The sequence below is a fragment of the Homo sapiens genome, chromosome 7, assembly GCF_000001405.40.
Source record: "Homo sapiens chromosome 7, GRCh38.p14 Primary Assembly".
Classification (NCBI taxonomy): domain Eukaryota; kingdom Metazoa; phylum Chordata; class Mammalia; order Primates; family Hominidae; genus Homo; species Homo sapiens.
Window position 1 is genome coordinate 78,709,433 of NC_000007.14, and position 19,024 is coordinate 78,728,456.

Consider the following 19,024-nt stretch of genomic DNA (forward strand, 5'->3'; position numbering starts at 1 on the left):
CTGTGATTTCATCTTTGGTAGGAAGCTTTCTTAGACATCTCTGGCCTAGGTCAGTTGTCTGGCCTGTGTTTCACCGTTAGAGCATTCATCATACTTTTCCCATGTCTGTGGCCATCACTTCAGTTCACGTTTATTTTGTGACTATACTGAGCACCATATAAGCTAGAACACACAGTACAAATTACATTTACTATCCCAGTCCTCAATGAGTTTCTTAGGAGCTTAGTTGAAATAGGCCCTGAAGATGGCTTGCCATCCGGCAGAATTTATATGTGTTTGTGCCTTAGCTAATTCCTCATTTCTCATCTTCAGCTGCTGTCCTCAGCTATATCTCTTAGTATCTTCTATGCTTGGCTCCTGGCATTTACACATGATCTTTTGGTATTGACTTTTTGCCTGGTCTATGTTTGTAGGATCACAGATTAAATACTCTGCTCCCTCATAACTTCCCAGTATTTACCCTGTACAGCATGTTTCTCTTGTGTCAATCCTACAGCCAGCCAGGTCAGCACAGTCTTTTCATGACTCTTCTTTTAGATCACAAACCTAGAAGTCATCAAACCTTCAAACAGAACTTTCTAAGTTACTAACATATCCAGGAGGGTAAATGCAGCCCTCAACAGGGAAGGGACCTTTCACGAGAGTTGCCTCATGTTAAATAAGCATTGCTAACAGAATGGTTATTTCTGTTAATAAGTACATATTACCACATACTAAGTACATATTACATTATTTAATCCTTATAGCAGACAAGATTACACACATTCTACTAAACAGGAAGCTGAAATTCAGATAAGTTAGTACCTAGTCCAAATTCACACAGCTAGATAACCATCAAAATCAGGACTAATGCTAATTTTAAATCCTTTGCCAGCCCTGCATGATCCTGATTGAGTCCAAGTACCCTGGGGATTCCCAGGTCTTAGCATAGGTGGTGCAAAGAACCCTATGTTTGGGGAGAGGGTGTAGGTAATGGATACCAAATCACTCCATATTAACCCCATCAAAGAATGTGACTCTTGACCCATTCTTAGAGAAGTGAACTACAACATAACAAGGAGGAAGCAAGCTTAATCTCTGAATGAATCTGGAGTTTTATCTGTCCATGGCACGATAATACCAAACACATTCCTCAGGGGGCTATTGCAAGGGTGGGTACAATATCCTATTGATGAACCGTAGTGATCAAAGGAAGGCATGAGTTGAGAGCTTAACAGAGAGAAATGCTCATAAAGCTCAGTATATTGCTACTGATGGAATGATTAAATGCCGCTTGACACAAAAACATATGCAGTTCTTGAAAGTCAAAAGATACAAAAACTCTAGAGTCATATGGTTTGTCAATCTACAGGCAACCCCTCTGTACCTATAATTTCACAGTTTCATTTATGCTTTGCAAAATTGATGATTATTACCAAAGGAATTTGAGTTTAAGCCTGGCAACTAAATCAAAAAGTAATGCTCTTACCATCTAGAAAATACTTAAACAACTTTAAAATGGAGTCAATGAATGTTTGACTGTTTGACAGGTAAGCTCTGAGTATATAATTAATCTGGCAATTGAAATCAGCTAAGTCTTTATAAATTCTCTTTGTAGTCTAGTGCATGATGATCACAACATCACTTGTAAGGACTTTGCAATATTCAAAGGACTGAGGTTCATACTCACATTTAGTGATATGAAGTTCACAGGATATATGTGTGTTAAACTTGCACATCATTGAAGTTTACGTATATAATTAATTAGACTCAACAAAGGAAACATTCATTGTCTATTTGAGGTCTGGACTGTGCTGGCATCAGCATGAGCCCCCTACTAGGTCTCAGACTAAAGAGGTGTCAAAGACAAGCAAATAGTTTCAGAAGAGTATATATAATAGTAATAATAAGGTAACATTAGAAATATGAGCAAGGAATGGAGGTTGCAGAGAGGAGGGATGTTATTACCTAGAAAGGGTGATTTCATAACGCTTATGTGTAAAATGGGGGCAGGAATAAAATGGGTGAATTAGATCATCTTTATAGTCTGCTTTTGCTCTCTAATTTTGTCCTGTCTATATACTTGTCAGATTATTTCCATTTTGTTCTTTTTTCCCCTTAGAGCCATATTTTCTGATTATGACCATTGGAAATGTTATGTTCAAAAATTTCCATGATCAAGGACTGACGATGGAGTCTTTAGGTCCCCAGCTTCTCTTCTTACCTCCTTCCTAAGAGCTTTGTAGGATACTGTTGCTCTGGCATATCTTCTCCAGAGACTGAGTAGAGAAAGGAGGTGGAATTACAATCAGTCAGCTTCACTTACTGAAGTTCTTGTGAAAGTTTGATAGAAGAGAGCGTTGATGTTTAAGAAAATATTTTTCACAGAATAAGGCAGCTCTTAATTACCTGCAGTAATGGAGAGCAGTGGTGTGTATAATCCAAAATGGTGGATAATCCAAAAACTATTTCTATTTGACTTTGAAATGTATTTTTGAACTTGCATTTGAATAGAAATATGGCACCAACAACTTAAAGAGTCCTAAGCTTTCTATCTTTCTTATACACATTGGTCTTTAGAAATTGCATGTTTGAGTTTTAAGACCTTCCTCCACTGGACTGCAGGTCAACTCTAGGTTAAAAGGAACAGTGCTACTGGCAATGTCAACAAAAATAGCTAAGCAAGACATTTCTAAAAAGAAATTAAAATAAAATGTATCTTAGATGATGTAGAGTTTGGCTACATATTGCTTGATTATATACACTCGTCTATGAACCAAGTTCCTACTTACAGTAAATCATTTAAGCTGGATGTGATGCACATCATTTCAAGCTGATGGAAAGATGACTAGATAAAGTTTGTTCTGTCTGACTCCCCCACTGAATGCCTGCCTGGCACTCTGAGGAAGCCACAGCAGGGTGTCTTCAGAAGCTATTTCCAAACAAATTTAGACTTGTCTTATACATGATGAGAGCTATTTATAAAGATTGTATAACAAATAGCTTATAAAAGACACCTCTGTCAATTGCATTTATAATGAAAAAATCTAACACAAGAAGGCGTTGATTCCCAGTGCAAGCTAACGCTGCAGTATCTTTGCTTTTTTATCAGCTAAACTAACCGGGGAAAGGGAGCATGACAAAACTCACTGCACTTCATTGAAACTTGAATTGAGATCTTAAAAAGAAGTAGAGTTTCATCAAAATATACAAAAGAGTAAAGGGCAGTAGGTGCATTTTAGTTGGTAAAGTCAGAATCCAGCAATCATATCGAATGACAAGATCTACTCTCAGAAATGATAGGTAATGACATTATTATGTGAGGATCTTTAATAACTTCTACTGTTATCTGTTTAATTGATGTACAAAAGGCAAAAAGATTTAAAGAATTGAGAGAAAAGCAGAAGAAAACATCAAAAATCGAAGAATTTAAATCTTCCATCCCCAAGACAAATGGAAAGCAAAAATCAATACATTACAAAAAAACTAAATAATTTTAGTGTGAATGTTTTGAAACTATCAGCCATCTGTAGTAATTGTACAGGCAAAGATTTTAGCATCGCAACAATCTAAGATGGGAATTTACATACGAAAATGAAAACATTAGACCTTTAATCAGAAGAATTGAAATGAAAACCAAAATTACTTAATATTTTTTCCCCAAAAAATATGCTTTTGGAAATGTGAGACTATGTTTGAAAGCCTGTGATTTTCTTATTTTATAAACGTGAAATGTGTTCAGTGATGACTATGACATGACAATTTGGAACCTTGAATTTAGTCTCCTATTTTACTCCTAATTTGTAATGTTACCTTGTGCATAATGTTTATTCCTTTGGGGTAAAGTGCTAATTAAATAATTCATTCATTTTAATAAGCATTTCTTGTGTACTTATGTACTAGGCCCTATGCTTGGCATAGGAGCTATAAAATTGAATAGGCCCTGGTTATAGTTTTGGCATATTTGATAAAGTCAGTGGGGATGAAGGCAGAAAGACAAACATGTGGCGTAAGATGGCACTTTGACTAAAACTACATACAAGTGGAGATGGCACTAACAGAAAGTGACCATTTCTACATGGGATGAGATATATCAAGGAATTCATTGACAGACTCAGTCTTACAGAATCTCTATACATCAAAGGTATTTGCCAACTATCCCTCTTCTGAAAGGTCAAGAAGTCAAAATCCCCATGAAACCTTGAATGGCGGTACATTAAAAAACAAGAACCTTCAAAATATGTAATAGCTCTTTTCAGAGCTGTCATACACAAATAAATACAAAATCTACTCTTACTTGCTTTCCTTCAATAGTATCACAAAAGGAGGTACTATGTTGATTCAGTATATAGTTTGTATACTCACAATGCATGGAAAAATGCATGGAGAACCATGCATACAGAACGTTTTACCTCACGTATTCTCAATTGATTTTCTAACTTTTGTTTTTAGCAACCATCCTTCATCAAAAAGATCCAAGTGTTAAATAAACAAGTCTAGAATTCACAGTTTGTACTCTCCTTGTGCTTCCTCGTTTTCTGTTATTTCTTTTCGGCTTGGGTAAGCAAACTCTGTTACTGCCACATTCTTTTTTTTTTCCACTGAGAATAGTTTCCCATGTTTTCAAAAGAGCACAGTTGTGTGATATGTGTTGTGGGGGGAAGAGGTGAAAGAAAGAGGGGGGAAGAGAATATACTTGTGTAAATATGAATAGTGTACATAAACATATATGAAGACATGGTCTTCTAGACACAGAAGAAAAAAGATACATAAATGAACACAAAGTGTGGAAACACATGTGTAGTCAGATGGATCAGTGTCCTTAGGGGGCAAGGTTTCAAAGCTCAGTCTACAAAACCATTCTAATTAAAATAACATTTTAATATCCAATTCTGCTTTACTTTGTAAGCATTTTCTCCCTTCTGTTTGTTTTCTTTACTAAAGTCACAGCAAGGGCTGTGCTGAGCCTCCAGTTCATCTAAGCTACTCGGTGCATGCCCAGACAGCAAGAAAATGGTTTCTCTGGCAACAGGAATTATGTGAAATCTCTGTGTGTTCTCCCCCACCTTCCATCTGATTCCTATTCACTTAAGCTCTTCACATATAGGCAACAACGAGGCATTGGAAATCTAATGAGCAATTCAAATTTATTGAGCTAGTTCATGGAGGCGGGTACTGTGAGCATCTTCATTTCCTGTGTACCAGGGAGCAGAGTGTGTTTGTTGTACGTTATCTGTATTATTCAAGAACCATGCACTGTCAGCAAATAGCCCAAACCAGATAAAATCAGATGAATATCTAAAATAAGAAGCATATGAGGAATTTACTTCCATCATGGTAGGAGGGAAATGCAAAGGCTTTCAGGTGCCAAACACAGCTTTGAATTTTCCAAAGATGCTGAGCGATGGAAGTCACAATGATTTAAAACAGCCTCATATTGTGTCTGAAACCCAAGAGGGAATGGCAAGAGCTTTGATTAAATTGCTTTGAATGTCAGCTTTTTTATTTCTAAGGAATCATACTGTTCCTCCATGACTAAAGCGCTAGAGTTTTCAATTTAGGCCTTATAAACATTCCCTAATAATAGTTCATGATGAGACCTCTTATATATGTTTTTCTCTGTAGCCTTTGTTAAGGAGAGAGTCCTGTGTTTAGCATTGGCACTAAGGCTGATATTTACTAAGAGAGTTTAATCAAATGGGAATTGATTTGCTTGGAGGAATCAGGACTAAGGCAAATTAGCTTTATTCTTTAGAGATTGGGAGAATGTGGGAGGGAAGGATCTATTTTTCTTCGGTTCCAGTAAGGATGAAATAACAGCAAGAAATATACTCAGTAACATAAAGTAGAAAATAGAGTGAATTGGAATGGACTCCTGAACCGGTTTCAGAATCATTGTCCTGGAAGTTTAAGAAGAATATTTGCTTCTTACTGTCTAGAATATTTTAGTAAACTCTACCTGCAAGGAGGTATATTTTTAAAGTTTCCTTGGTTTTATCATTGTATATCTTACCTGTTAAAAATTAAGGACTTTGTCACCAAAAAGCAATAGGAAATGCCTCTTTGCATAAATCTTTAATCTCAATCTACATGATATAGATTTAAGTAATAACTCAATGAAAGCCCAATTTAAATAAACTTTAACTTCCAGTGAAAGCTGTAAGAAAGCAATGAGCAGAATGATTAGCCTAATGACACAAATATAGTAAATGATTAACTAAAAAGCATAGAAGGGTGAAGATACCAAAGACAGATGACAGTAAAATAATAGTAGCATTATAACAATGACTTCATTCATTTCATGGTTAATCTTTAGATAATAAGAACATATTGTTTTAGATAATAAGATAGTTTAAAAATTCTCAAATAACTGGCATTTTTCCTGGGATATAAAAGTGCCAATAAGTACAGCCAAAATTTGGAAAATAAATACAAAATATAAGTCCTACACAGAAGAGACACCTACTGAAGCCATAACACTCGGAATTTTCAATCCAGTCACAGAGCTTTTAGGAAAAGAACATCTTGGAATCATAATTTCATTCCAGTTAGAAAATGGAGATTCAACACTCATACCTAAAACCAAATTGCCCTTCACGTGGTAAGTCAGATAAGCTGAGACTAGGGGCTTTGTGTATGTAGCTAGTGCTTGCTTCTGGGAACAGAGAAATTGTTCCTGTGTTTCTAAATGTGGTACCCCACTGCAAGTAGTGTGTAGTAGAACGCATAAAGATTTACTGAAGTTTTCAAGGAATTTCTAAGCTCTGGTCTGCAGTTCTTTTCCCACAGAGCCACCTTTCAATTGTGACTTTTGCTATGTTTTATTTTAATTTTATTTAATTTTACCCTTTCTTCCAGGAAAAGTTGAGATGGCTTACTATTATAGTGTATGCATGTATCAATCCTTGAAAACAGTATTTCTTTTAAAGAGAAAATTGCCTAGAATCAGGAAAATATCTTGATAAGGCACTTATGGTAGAAAGCAGAAGATGAGAACATGTGTTAGTAGGAGAGAAAGCAATGAAAAATAGCAAAACTGTTCCTAAGTTAGAAATTAATGGCAATTAGTGGGTGGTGGGGAATACAAAAAAGAAGAAAGGAAAGGCAGAGTGGCCTTTAGAGGGAAAACATTAAAAATTTTAGACATCTAATATTCAATTTTATGTTGTTGCTGTTTTTACAAAATCTTTCTCATAATTCAGAAAAGTGTGGTACATTCACATTGCTGAGCACGCTGATTTTTATGGAAATGTGTTTATCATGTGTGCTTAAGAAAGATCAATTTCCCCATTTGGCTATATACCAGAGCAGGGACACAGAGTAAAAAACAAAAAAGTTGTAGAGAAAAGTGGTTCAAGACAGAGGTGTTTATGAGGATGTAAGACCCACTGGAAGTTCAGAGAAAACTGAAGAACTATATTGGGCTTTTCATGGGGCACGGAATCCAATCTTATTTACAGCTTAAAAGGTAAGAGGACCTCAGGTAACTGTTAGCCCAAGCCACAGCATTTTGCAGACTCCCACCTTTTATAAACTCCGGTCAGAGTGGAAAATTCCACCAGAGACTGAACCGTGAAGAAACATCTTGTGGGACAGGTCCCAGGCCTAACCCCTAACCCAGTGAATTCCTTCCTTATCAGCAGCCCAGCATACCATTCCCACCCCATTTCACAGCAACCTCAGACCTCTCCCGCCTGGACCTACAACTGCCCCAGCCTGCAAGCGGGAAAGGAGGCTCCTGCGCTCGCTGGTGCTCCCCCTCCGCAGGTCTTTGTCCAATAAACCTGTGTTACCGTCGAGCCGCCCTCCTTGTCTTTTTTTCTCCATCTTAACAGTAACATGGAAGTTATACCACACAACACAGCACACACACACACACAGAGTGAAAAGGTAAAACGTTACAATTTTTAAAATCAGAAACAGGAAAGGTATATAATTAAGCAGGATGCAACATCTGGGAGAAGAAAAATGCCATATATCAATGAACTGTGTACACTTGGGCAATGTAACATTAGTGGGCCAGCTTCAGGACCTTACTATGGTGAAAATCTGCTACAAATTTCCACTCTCTTTGAAGTCACATGGATGTGAATCGTGTGTGCTTTCAACGTACTAGCTGTGAATGAACTTAGGCTAGAGGGTGAAAATATCGGAGCCCCAATATTCTCCTTTCCTGTAAAATACAGATAGTAGTATCTACTTTAAACATAAATAATAATGGCAAATTTTTATTTACTGCAAACTATATGTCAAGCTCCAAACTTACAGCTATTATTTATTTAGTTTACTCCTTGCAACTATTCTTTGAAGTATTATTATTTTCATTGTACAAATCAGGAACCTAAGCCTAATAGAAATTAAATAACTTTCCTAAGCACAGAGCTTGTAGGTAGTGGAGCCATTAGAGTGGTTCACTAGTACTGACAATAGCAGTACTAGTATAAGTATTAGTACTAGCATAAGTACTAATATAAGCAAATACTGTGAAAGTCAGTTTCAACTTGAAATTTTCAATTACTGACTTCGTTTTCTACAATGGGCAAACCCAAGATAACTCTGTAATGATGGATCCTTTGTAAACTTTACTTCTTGTCATTCTGCATTTTTTTCACTATTTCTTTATTTAACAAGGGTGGAACGCCTTGCTCATTTATCATCATAGCTGAATTCTTATTAGAGCACCAGCTAATTCATGCTTATTAAGTAGAAAAGCAATGGCAACTAGGCTTGATGCCTAAGTAGGATTCAAGCCTGTATCTAAAGTGACAAAAAACTTATAACGCTGTTTCAGATCAACTATAGAGTGGCAGGAATAAATACCATTGTATATGCTCACTGTAAAGCTAGATTATGTTTCCAGTGTAGTCACACCAAGTAGGAGCACATACCGTCCATCTCAGCACTTTGTCCTCTAGACCAGGGGTCCTCAACCCCTGGGCCATGGACTGGTACCATCCTATTAAGAACTGGGCCACACGGCAGAGGTGAGTGGCAGGTGAGTGAGCAAAGCGTCATCTGTATTTATAGCTACTCCCCATTCCTTGGATTACCGCCTGAACTCTGCCTGTCAGATCAGTGGCAGCATTAGACTCTCATAGAAGCAGGAACCCTATCTTGAACAGTGAATGTGAGGGGTGTAGGTTGTCCGCTCCTTATGAGAATCTAATGCCTGATGATGTGTCACTGTCCCCCATCACCCCCAGATGGGACCATCTAGTTGCAGGAAAACAAGCTCAGGGCTCCCCTTGATTCTATGGTGCATTGTGTAATTATTTCATTATATATTACAGTGTAATAATAATAGAAATAAAGTACCCAATAAATGTAGTGTGCTTGAATCATCCCGAAACTATCCATCCCCGCACCCCCAACCCCTGTCCGTGGAAAAATTGTCTTCCATGAAACCAGTCCCTGGTGCCCAAAAGGTTAGGGACCACTGCTCTAGATGATTCACTGGGGACATACGGTTGCCAGTGACACTGTAGGGTCTTACCAGGTCTGGTAAACCCAACCTTTGTTATGTCACTGTGCTTTTATACTTTTCACTTACATCACCATTTGGAAAAGTGTAGACTAACAATACAATGAGGGTTTGTGTGTATGTATTGAATAACAGACTTGGCATTAGAAATGTTGCATCCTTATGTCTGTGGGGAAAATAGGATGAATATCTAGATTTACCTGAAGAATTTCTCTGCCTCCAGCTTTCCAACATTCTGGAGAGCCAGTTTCCCTATACCTTCTATGTGAACCAATTAATAGGATGTTAAAGAAAAAGGTAAGAATTTGTTTGAACTCAAGGATCTGACACATGCTGTTCCAATCAATTTTACATTCTAATAAAATAAACAATTGAAGTCTTACAAATACTGCATGTCCAAATAAAATAATACCCATTTTTTGTATAATAAACTAAAGCTTATCAAATAGCTTCCCTTAAGGTTGAAGGAAAAAAAATAAAGAAAAAAAATCCAACTGTAAGTGACCTTCAAATAACCTAAGCATTGTGTTGGCAAGTTTAGTAAGACTATGTTCTCCAAAAGTTTACAGAAGTGACATTGTCATCAGTATGTCTACTGAAAAAGGAGTGAGTGATAGAAACCACTACGTTTAAAAAAATCATTTAGTTAGAATTATGATCGTGTATTGGGGTTTATGCAGGATCTTGCACGAAGAAAATAAGCAAGTTGCAACCCTCTTTCTTTTACTTTCAACGACAAAGGTCATGCCAAGGGTTTGGAATCCTATTGCTGCTATTAAGAGCTCTTTCTATGCATTAAACTTGTCTCACCAAAGCAGGTGTTTGACATATGAGGGGCCTGGCTGCAGTACTATCAATAGTTTCATTACAGGGGACTTACTCTCCAAACATACCTTTCCTGTGGACAGAATTTAATTTGAACCATCTTTTCTAGAGGGTAGTTGTTTGTGATTATTTTCTTGAAATAAGTAAAAAGTTTAAATAGAGGTGATATGCAACTCCAGTTTAATGTGTGCACTAATCTTTCACTTTATATAATTTATCATCTATAATTTTAGTTATTATAAATATTTAGTTAAATCTACTCGGTTATCTTTCATTAACTATGAACTCATAATCTACAAAAATATATCAAATGGCTGCATTTCCACATTTTCCAGAATCATATATCATAGTACTGTGGCTAGATAAGATTACCTAAAATGCAGATAAATTCTTTTGTAAATATGTCAAAATATATCTAATTAACTATATATAAAATTACAAATAAATCCTGCCTTCCTAAGAGGGATAAATTTAGAAGCAACATTTGGAGAAACACAGTACTGACATCTGATAAGTATGACTTTGTTTTTCCCCTAAGCTATAAATAGTAATAGCTAACACTGAATGCTTCCTATGTGCCAGTCATACAACACTGAGTGTGTACTAACTCACTTAATCCTTATAATACACCTATGAGATTCAAACTATTAGGGATCTCATCTTATGGATGAAGAAACTGAGGTACAGAATAATTAACTTGCTCCTAGACACAGCTAGTAAGTGAAGCTGACATTTAAATCTGGACAGTATGGGTCTAAAATCAGTCATCTTAACCATTAGTTGTATAATTTATTTAGATATATAATTTATAATTTATAAAATATTATTCATTACATGTCAGAATAATCTCTTACATTTAATAATGAAGACCACGAGAAATGGTCCATTTGTGGTACAGGACACCACCATATACAAAGCAGCTTACTAATGTACAGCTGTCGTGGGAAAAGATGTTTCTAAATCATTTGTACCCTGGGGACACTACATGCCATTTTATTCAAAGTCCATGGAGATTAATTTCTCAAAGGATAAGTTGAGAAAAAATCATCTTTTCCTTCATCAGAAAACCAAATAATCAACTTTTATTTCTCAAAGGTAAGAAAGATCAAATAGACAACCCTTGGATCTAACCTGTGGTTCCACAAAGGATATAAAAATAGCAAGTGTGATGAATGGATCATAAAATTGTTCCTTCTGGGGAAATTCTGTGATTTAATGCCACACAGTATGTAAGGAGAATCGCAACATAATTGATTGAAATCTGAAATGGAGATACAGGGGGCCTAATCATTTTTCTAGAAGAACTCTGAAGAAAGAGTTGGACCTAACGTTTAAAAAGCTAACATCTAACATTAACTCTAGTAAGCAATTATACCAGTGCTTAAACCAATATTACATAACCAAGAAAAAAATAGGAAATCTATGTATTCTGTTTACATTTTTACTCACCCACACTGTACCAGTTCTTCCTCATGGCTGGGTCCTCTCTAATAAATGGAATTTTTGTATAACATCTTTTAGGTCACCTAAGCAGTGATGTATAAAATCACTGTATATGTATGTATATGCCCAGAATGTATATGCCCAGAAAAATAATGAAGTCTCTCAGCATATAGTTAGCTATCACAGAGTGACTAAGGTAGCATAAGAATTAATCTCAAATAATCCTACTATTTGTAGGTTCCTTTAAAAAAATCAATATGCCTGTACCTTCAAGTTACCAAGGGCATATGTATGACATATGTGGGTTACCTGATACTTTAGAAAGCAGAGAATAGATATCCCCTTATCACAGAGGCAGGTCCCGGGTAGATGCAGAATTTTGAAAGGAACATATTGAAATCTTCTAATTTGTGCTTATCTTGAAATTAAATTCAGTCTTCTAGTCATTCCAATTTTTTCCAACCTATTAAATTGTGAGAAATCTGCAAAGAATTTATTGAGAAGGTTCTCAAAGAACTAAGATGGTAGCTTTTTACTAAGAAACTGATTATATCAAGGCTGAAGGGTAAGATTTGTTCAGACAAGCTTTCCTAGCTAGCATCCAATGAGTATTAGAATTTCCAAGTCTAATTTATAAACCCAAACATAAACAGATAAAAATAATAATTTTTATTTTCTTCAAGAGAAGAGAAAAATGTAAGGTAGAGTGAAGTAACATTTAGACTCAGAAAATTTAAATCAAAGAACTGACATAAACAACTAGCAAACTTGATTGTTTAGATTTTAATAAAATGTATTGTATAATCTATTATTACTTTTAGTGAGAGCAAAATATTATAGAAAAACTTTTTTATTTGTAAAATATATCTTGTTCCAAGGAAATAAGTATACGTAATTAACTAACACCCATAAAAGGTATGACTCTTTAATGTTGTCAATGAAGATTTAACATAATATTCTATAACAAATATAGCTCATTCTGCTCTTAAAACACATAATTCATTACCTCATTTGAATGTATTGTTTAATCTAGGAAATTGTATAATAAATAGCAGTAATAATATGGGAATAAGCAATGTAGTTTTACTTTCAAAACTAATATCCACCAGTAAAACTAAAATTTGAACTGTGAGAAGGCGATATATCTAATCATGACACTCTCAGGAGGAAATAGCACAACAATTTTAACCCATTATTTGTCATATTTCTGCATGGGAACATGTTTCAAAATAGGTTTCATAGGCCTAACACATAACCCAGGAATAATCGCACAAGTAATTTTGAGGGTATATTCATAGTCACCTTTCCATATTCAAATGTTACAAAATGAATTTCTACCAAAGACACTATTTTCATTCTTATTAGAGTTATTTGCTCAAGACTATAGCCAAAGAAATATAGATCTTAAATCTCATCATCAAAAAAGCCCAGAACTCTGGCTTCATTTTCAGGCACAATACCACAATGGCAAAACATCAGTCTCAGTGTGATATATCAGTTAATAACGTAAGCAGTAAGACACGGGCTAAATTTAACACATACTCAAAACAACCTCTGTTAAATAATTTAACATGAATGATATTAAGGACAATTAAATACATTTGTTTCTTAGACAGTTTGTCTAAGAGTCTTGAACTCTTTTGTGAGAATCCCTGGGGGAACTTAAATGTGGGTACTTATGTTTTATAGGATTGACCAGGAATAGTCTAAAATCAGAAGTCATAGCCCTCCTAAAGCCATATAGCTTAATTATAGAATAATATAATCATAGAATTATAGTTGGCTTATCTAGTTGATGCGATTCATATTAAAGGAAAAGGAAGATGTAAGAATGTGGAAATTATTGCCAAAGAGCACTCAGTAAAGTTGCTAAGAGAAAATGGTTAGTAAATCCCAGGCCACCTTAAGATATTAAGTTGTCTGTTAAGCATTGCAGTGATCAAGGAAGCATCCATACTTAGAAACGCATGATTAATCTTTTAAATAATATCCTAATATTGTTTAAATATACTTTGATTTTTCTTCAAAACAAAAGAAAAATGTAAACTGTTATTTTCTTTGGTCAATATATATGTTTATAAGATGGCCTTATAAATTCTATTGCTCATTGGATGCTGGCTAATAAAATACATTCATCCATTTTCTTTCAATCAACCATATTTATTTAGCACTTACTAAATTCAAGAAGGCCTGGGCCCTAACACATTTGTAAGTGTGGGCAGAGGCCTAGGAATTTGCATATTTAATAAGAACCATAAGTGATTCTGAAACAAGTAAGCTTCTGACCAAATATTGCAAAACATTGATAAGGGACTGCTTCAAGGGGGAGAGGCAATGACAACATCATGAAGGATGCAGTATTTGAGGTATTTCTAGAAAAATAGGTAAAATTAGGGTATGTAGAGATAGTATGAAGGGCAATTAAGAAGAGGAAAGAGACTAAGTTAGGCACAAGAGCAAGAGGGTGTAGAGTGAGGAAATAACCAGTGGCCTAGATTGGCTAACAATAAGAAAATTAGAGAGTAACAGAAGAGATGACTATAGGTCAGAGGGAAATTGATTTGGATCAGGAATGTCAAAACCAGGGAGTACTGACTCTATTAAATACATGACAGGGAGTTTCTAAAATTTCTTGAGCAGGTAAAAGCTTAATTCAAAGTATAGGGAGATAGATGTTGTGAAAGGTAGTTGAAGCCATGGGAGGAGGTAAGGTTGCTGGGGAGGCAAAACAGAACATGACGAAGCCACACTCGGGAATAACATTGAGGAGTGTCTACATTTGATTGCCTGGAGAAAGAGGAAAAAAGAAGGAAAACTGGGTGATAATGTTACCAAAATAGCAGGGGTGTGGTCTAGGTCCTGCTGCTTGCTGCACAGAAAGTCAATCACTGAGACAATGAGTACTGCCAGGGAAGAAGGCTTTAATTGGGTGCTGTAGCTGAGGAGATGAGAGATCACAATGAAATGATTAAAAGGATAACTAAAGGAAATGTATAGAAGAATGAAAAGGTTGAGTCAGGGGCACAGCATAGTAACATGTAGGAAGAGAGGATATAGACATTACATTGCCTGGGGACATCTCTTTCCCTCTCTAGGCCACTAGCATAGGTTCAAAACAGAGACTAAATTGCAATGCTTATATTCTGTGTAGACTAAAGACTGAAAAAGTAATGGAGCTTTACTAAAAGATGGGTTTCAAATGAGAGAGTCAGATGAAAGTGCAAGGGATTTCCAGCACCTATGATGGTACCATAGTTGTAGATGGCAGGAAAGCAAGGAGCAGAAGCTTTCAAGTCGAGTGCACAGTCATTTTAAAAATGAGAAGGTGCAGGAAATTGATGAGGGAGTTTACAGAACCCAACTGTCTCACAATTTGCATTAAAGTATGGGCGCCCTTATTTAGTTTGTGGAGTTCTCTATTCTGGCCCTTAGTTCTATTGCTCCTGTTGAGGAGGAAGGAGAAGAAAGGTTGCCTGCTCCTGTGTGCCTCTTTGAGGTGCCAGGAGATTACTCTGAAATGCTTTCCTAGCATGTAGCATGTCTTGTACAGCAATTCCAGCACTGAGACATGTACCCTGAGATATGCCAACACACTTCCAGCTGGTCCAAGGCTAGACCACCTAACTTTTGAGTTTCAACTTCTAATAACAATGCATAACAGCACTTGCCAGTTGCACCATTTTACTTCAGAAGGATGTCACATGAATCATTGAAGGAGTGACTTTAGAAGACCTTGAGCCAATTGGAGAGAAGCGCTCTAAGTGCCCAATAATTTCTCATTTTTAATATTCAGTGAAGATTTTTGAAATGTTAAAGAAAAAAATAGAGGAACTAGGAATAACAAATGGCTAGCAGGACACATTTACTGGAATGAAGGAGGATTGCAAAGCTATTTTCTCAATTATATTTTTTACATTAAAACAACGTTGCATTTTTAAGCCCTGCAGATAAAATGTCTTTTATGAAGAAAAGCTAATTAAGTTTCCTGAAAAATAAGGCAGCTGGTTAACAATTTACGTCTTTTTTGAAGCGTTAACGCTTATGGTTTTTAGGGCCCAAGTTACTAAGTTAATCTATAAGTGAATCCAAAGGTGAACTAATAGATCGAAAAATGGTTCATGCTTAGGTGTGGATTTCTGAGCACTAAAAAAATTTAAAAAATGACCATAGAACTATTTTGATCTTCACTTTTGAACAAATCAGGTTTATATGTTGTTTCCTTTCTAAACCTTCCATTGTACTTTTTAAAAATAAATCCCCATCACAGCACTGAAAACACGCACTATGCAACTGTTTACCAAGTATTAACTGTGGGTCAGGCACTATGCTGAATGACAGAAATGAAAAGTTAAACTAGGCCAGGCACGGTGGCTCACGCCTATAATCCCAACACTTTGGGAGGCCTAGGCGGGCAGATCACAAGGTCAGGAGATAGAGACCATCCTGGCTAACACGGTGAAACCCTGTCTCTATTAAAAGATAGAAAAAATTAGCCGGGCGTGGTGGCAGGCGCCTGTAGTCCCAGCTACTTGGGAGGCTGAGGCAGGAGAACGGCGGGAACCTGGGAGGTGGAGCTTGCAGTGAGCCGAGATTGCGCCACTGCGCTCCAGCCTGGGCGTCAGAGGGAAACTCGGTCTCAATACAACAACAACCACAACAAACAAACAAACAAACAAAGTTAAACTAGACACTCCCTAGTCTTGGAAGCTCATGACCCAGCTCTTTTATTAGTTGTAAAATGTACTGGATAGTCGTTATACTCCAAACCCCCTTTACCTAGTATTTTGTCATTGTCTTTATATGTTTATATCCCAGGCTTTTAATATAGTTGCTCAAAAAAAATGTTAAATTGAATGTTTAATATAGCTGCTCCAAAAATGTTAAATTGAAGTTAATATTATATTAAATTATAAAGATAATTTGGATAGGGACATACCTTTGTAAGATGAAAAATTAATGTATTCTCCCTTATTGTTCAAAAATAATTTTAAGTGGGGGTTAATATTATAGTTAGAATTCACAACCTATGTAATCTTTCAGAGAAATAACAAAAGGAACCACTGATAATTTACAGTACTATGTTTTCTGTTGCCATTTATTTGTAACTTAAATGTGTGTAAAACATTTGTAAAACTAAATGTTATCAAAGGTTTGGAATAGCTTCAAGACTTTTGAGTATTTATCAAGTCATTATATCTAAATGTGCTAACTTGAAATGTATCTTTGTCTCCACCTTGTTTGAGCTGAATAAACTGGAAGAGGTTAACTTCATAAATCTTTCCTATAGCATCTATAGCTGAAGTAATAATTCAAATGAAAATAAGAGGTATGGAAAAAAACATGAGCCAAATTAGTAAACAACTCTCTATCAGTTTCCTTTAACTGAAGTTAGATAAAAGATAGAAGGGCAAGGTGGGGACAAAATTACTGTTGGCATTATCATCGTTGAAGTCACATTTTTAAAGGAATAAATGGTTTCAACATTAATATAACAGAGAATACTTCTCCCAAGTAATAATCTAGAATGCAGTTTTTAAAATTGATGTGGTATAATATGCTAGTTCAGCTTAAATATTAATTTCAACTAATTTACAGCTGTATAATATTGCTACAAATTATGAAACAAATGAAAATTTAAAGATCTATGTAATATGTAGCAAAAATAGTTGATAAGAATCACATCTTTTTAGGCATCCTTTTAAAATCTGGTTTTCATTTTCTATTTTCTTAGATGGTTACTAAATTCTCAGATGCATGGGTTTTTTTTTTTTGAAGTATTTATGTTAACTTTAAAATAACTCCATTATCTTAAATAAATGTCTTTGAGCACAGTCCTTGAGACACCTGATCAGTGCACTTTGTATCAGCATTTGCTAGTGTACCTATGTATCAGCAGCTTTTTCTTGTCAGACTGACATTGACTTACCTTGGCTCAAATCAATTAATGTTCTGACATCTGGCAGCAATAACAGTTTGATAAGCCAGTAGAAACAGAGGAGAAAAAGCAATGGAAGTAGACACAAAAAGATGGAAGGAATAGCAGAGACATTTTAGAGTTTATCGATATATAAGTTGACCGATATTTTGTGTGGTATGGAAGAGAGAGAGAGAGTCATGCGCTATTAGCTCTGTGATGGGGCTGAAACTGTGTCTTATGTTGCAGCAATTACCTGGCCATACATTACTTGATTCTCAGAATATGCAAATGTATGATACTTGATAGCAGACTTTACTACACTCTAAGTGCCCATAGAAATACTACAAAATGTAATATGATCCTATTCCTTAGAGTTTGCTGTGACTATCAGAACTTTCAAGGCAATTGTGTAGTTCTTTATTAATGAAGAATTTTCATGGATGCAAATGCACAAGTCATCGTCTGTAAAATACAACAACAAACAAGTGAACTACATTCTTATTTTAAGATCCAACTGAAGTATATACATCAAATATGGAAGTCACAACATGAAGGATATTGTGAGGTTTTCATTTTGACTTTTTAAATGTGAATGGTAACACTTGGTCAAACGCTATAGACAAGAAACTTGACAGCTAATCACATCAGGCTTGCTGTGAAACTAATGCTCAGTTGGTTAGTCGCTAATAAAGTCTAGACATCTGTTATCTTTGAGTCTGTTTATTTATTTTACACTTACTTATCAAGAGGCATATATGGACCAGTCATTATTTTACGCTCTGGGGATACAGCTGAGAACAAAACCAAGTCCCTGCACACAAAGAGCATATTGTCTAGTGACTGAGAGTAAAAATAAACACACAATATAATACCAGGTTGTGATGCACACTAAGAAGAAATAGAGAACAGGTATGGAGATTGCCAGTAATGGTGATGGAGGGGGCAATTTTTAGATATGATAGTTAGGGAATGCCTAAGAAGGTAAAATTGAGTGAAGTTATAACTAGATACTATCTTATTTGGCCCAATCCACTCAAACTTTTGTGTGTATGAATATAGATTATTTGAGAATAATCTGCATTAAGGATGTTCATTCCCTGCGAGGTTATGGTAACAGTGGGTGATGATAACTGAGATATTAAATACAAAGTAAATCGTAGAAAAATAAGAAGGATCTTTATTTTAGATTATAGATTATTATATAAACAGCCCAATTTTAAGAATTTGTCATCAGGTATTCACCCTTTCATTAAAAAGCTTTTTAAAAAATGATCTATCATATGCTATACCCGCATGAATTAGCAGTAAACAAAATGCACATTGGTTCTTACTCTATGGAACTCAAATTCTAGCTGGGAATTCTATTCACATAGATGAGA

The 19,024-nt window shown here is 35.6% G+C and overlaps 1 protein-coding gene across 14 annotated transcripts in view; it reads right to left on the bottom strand.

Annotated features, from left to right (window-relative positions):
• The window catches only part of MAGI2 (membrane associated guanylate kinase, WW and PDZ domain containing 2), a 1,436,613-nt gene that overhangs the window by 692,378 nt on the left and 725,211 nt on the right, over positions 1-19,024 (bottom strand). Inside the window, exons 1-2 of one of the 14 annotated variants that reach the window (XM_017012847.3) lie at positions 2,204-19,024; positions 1-162 (exon numbers count right to left, since the gene is read on the bottom strand). The exon at positions 2,204-19,024 is cut by the window's right edge and continues 33,735 nt beyond it. The exons of 12 other annotated variants lie outside the window; for them this stretch is intronic. The gene's annotated coding sequence lies outside the window, so the exon portion shown is untranslated. One more of the 14 variants, XM_011516720.4, reaches the window with a different exon arrangement.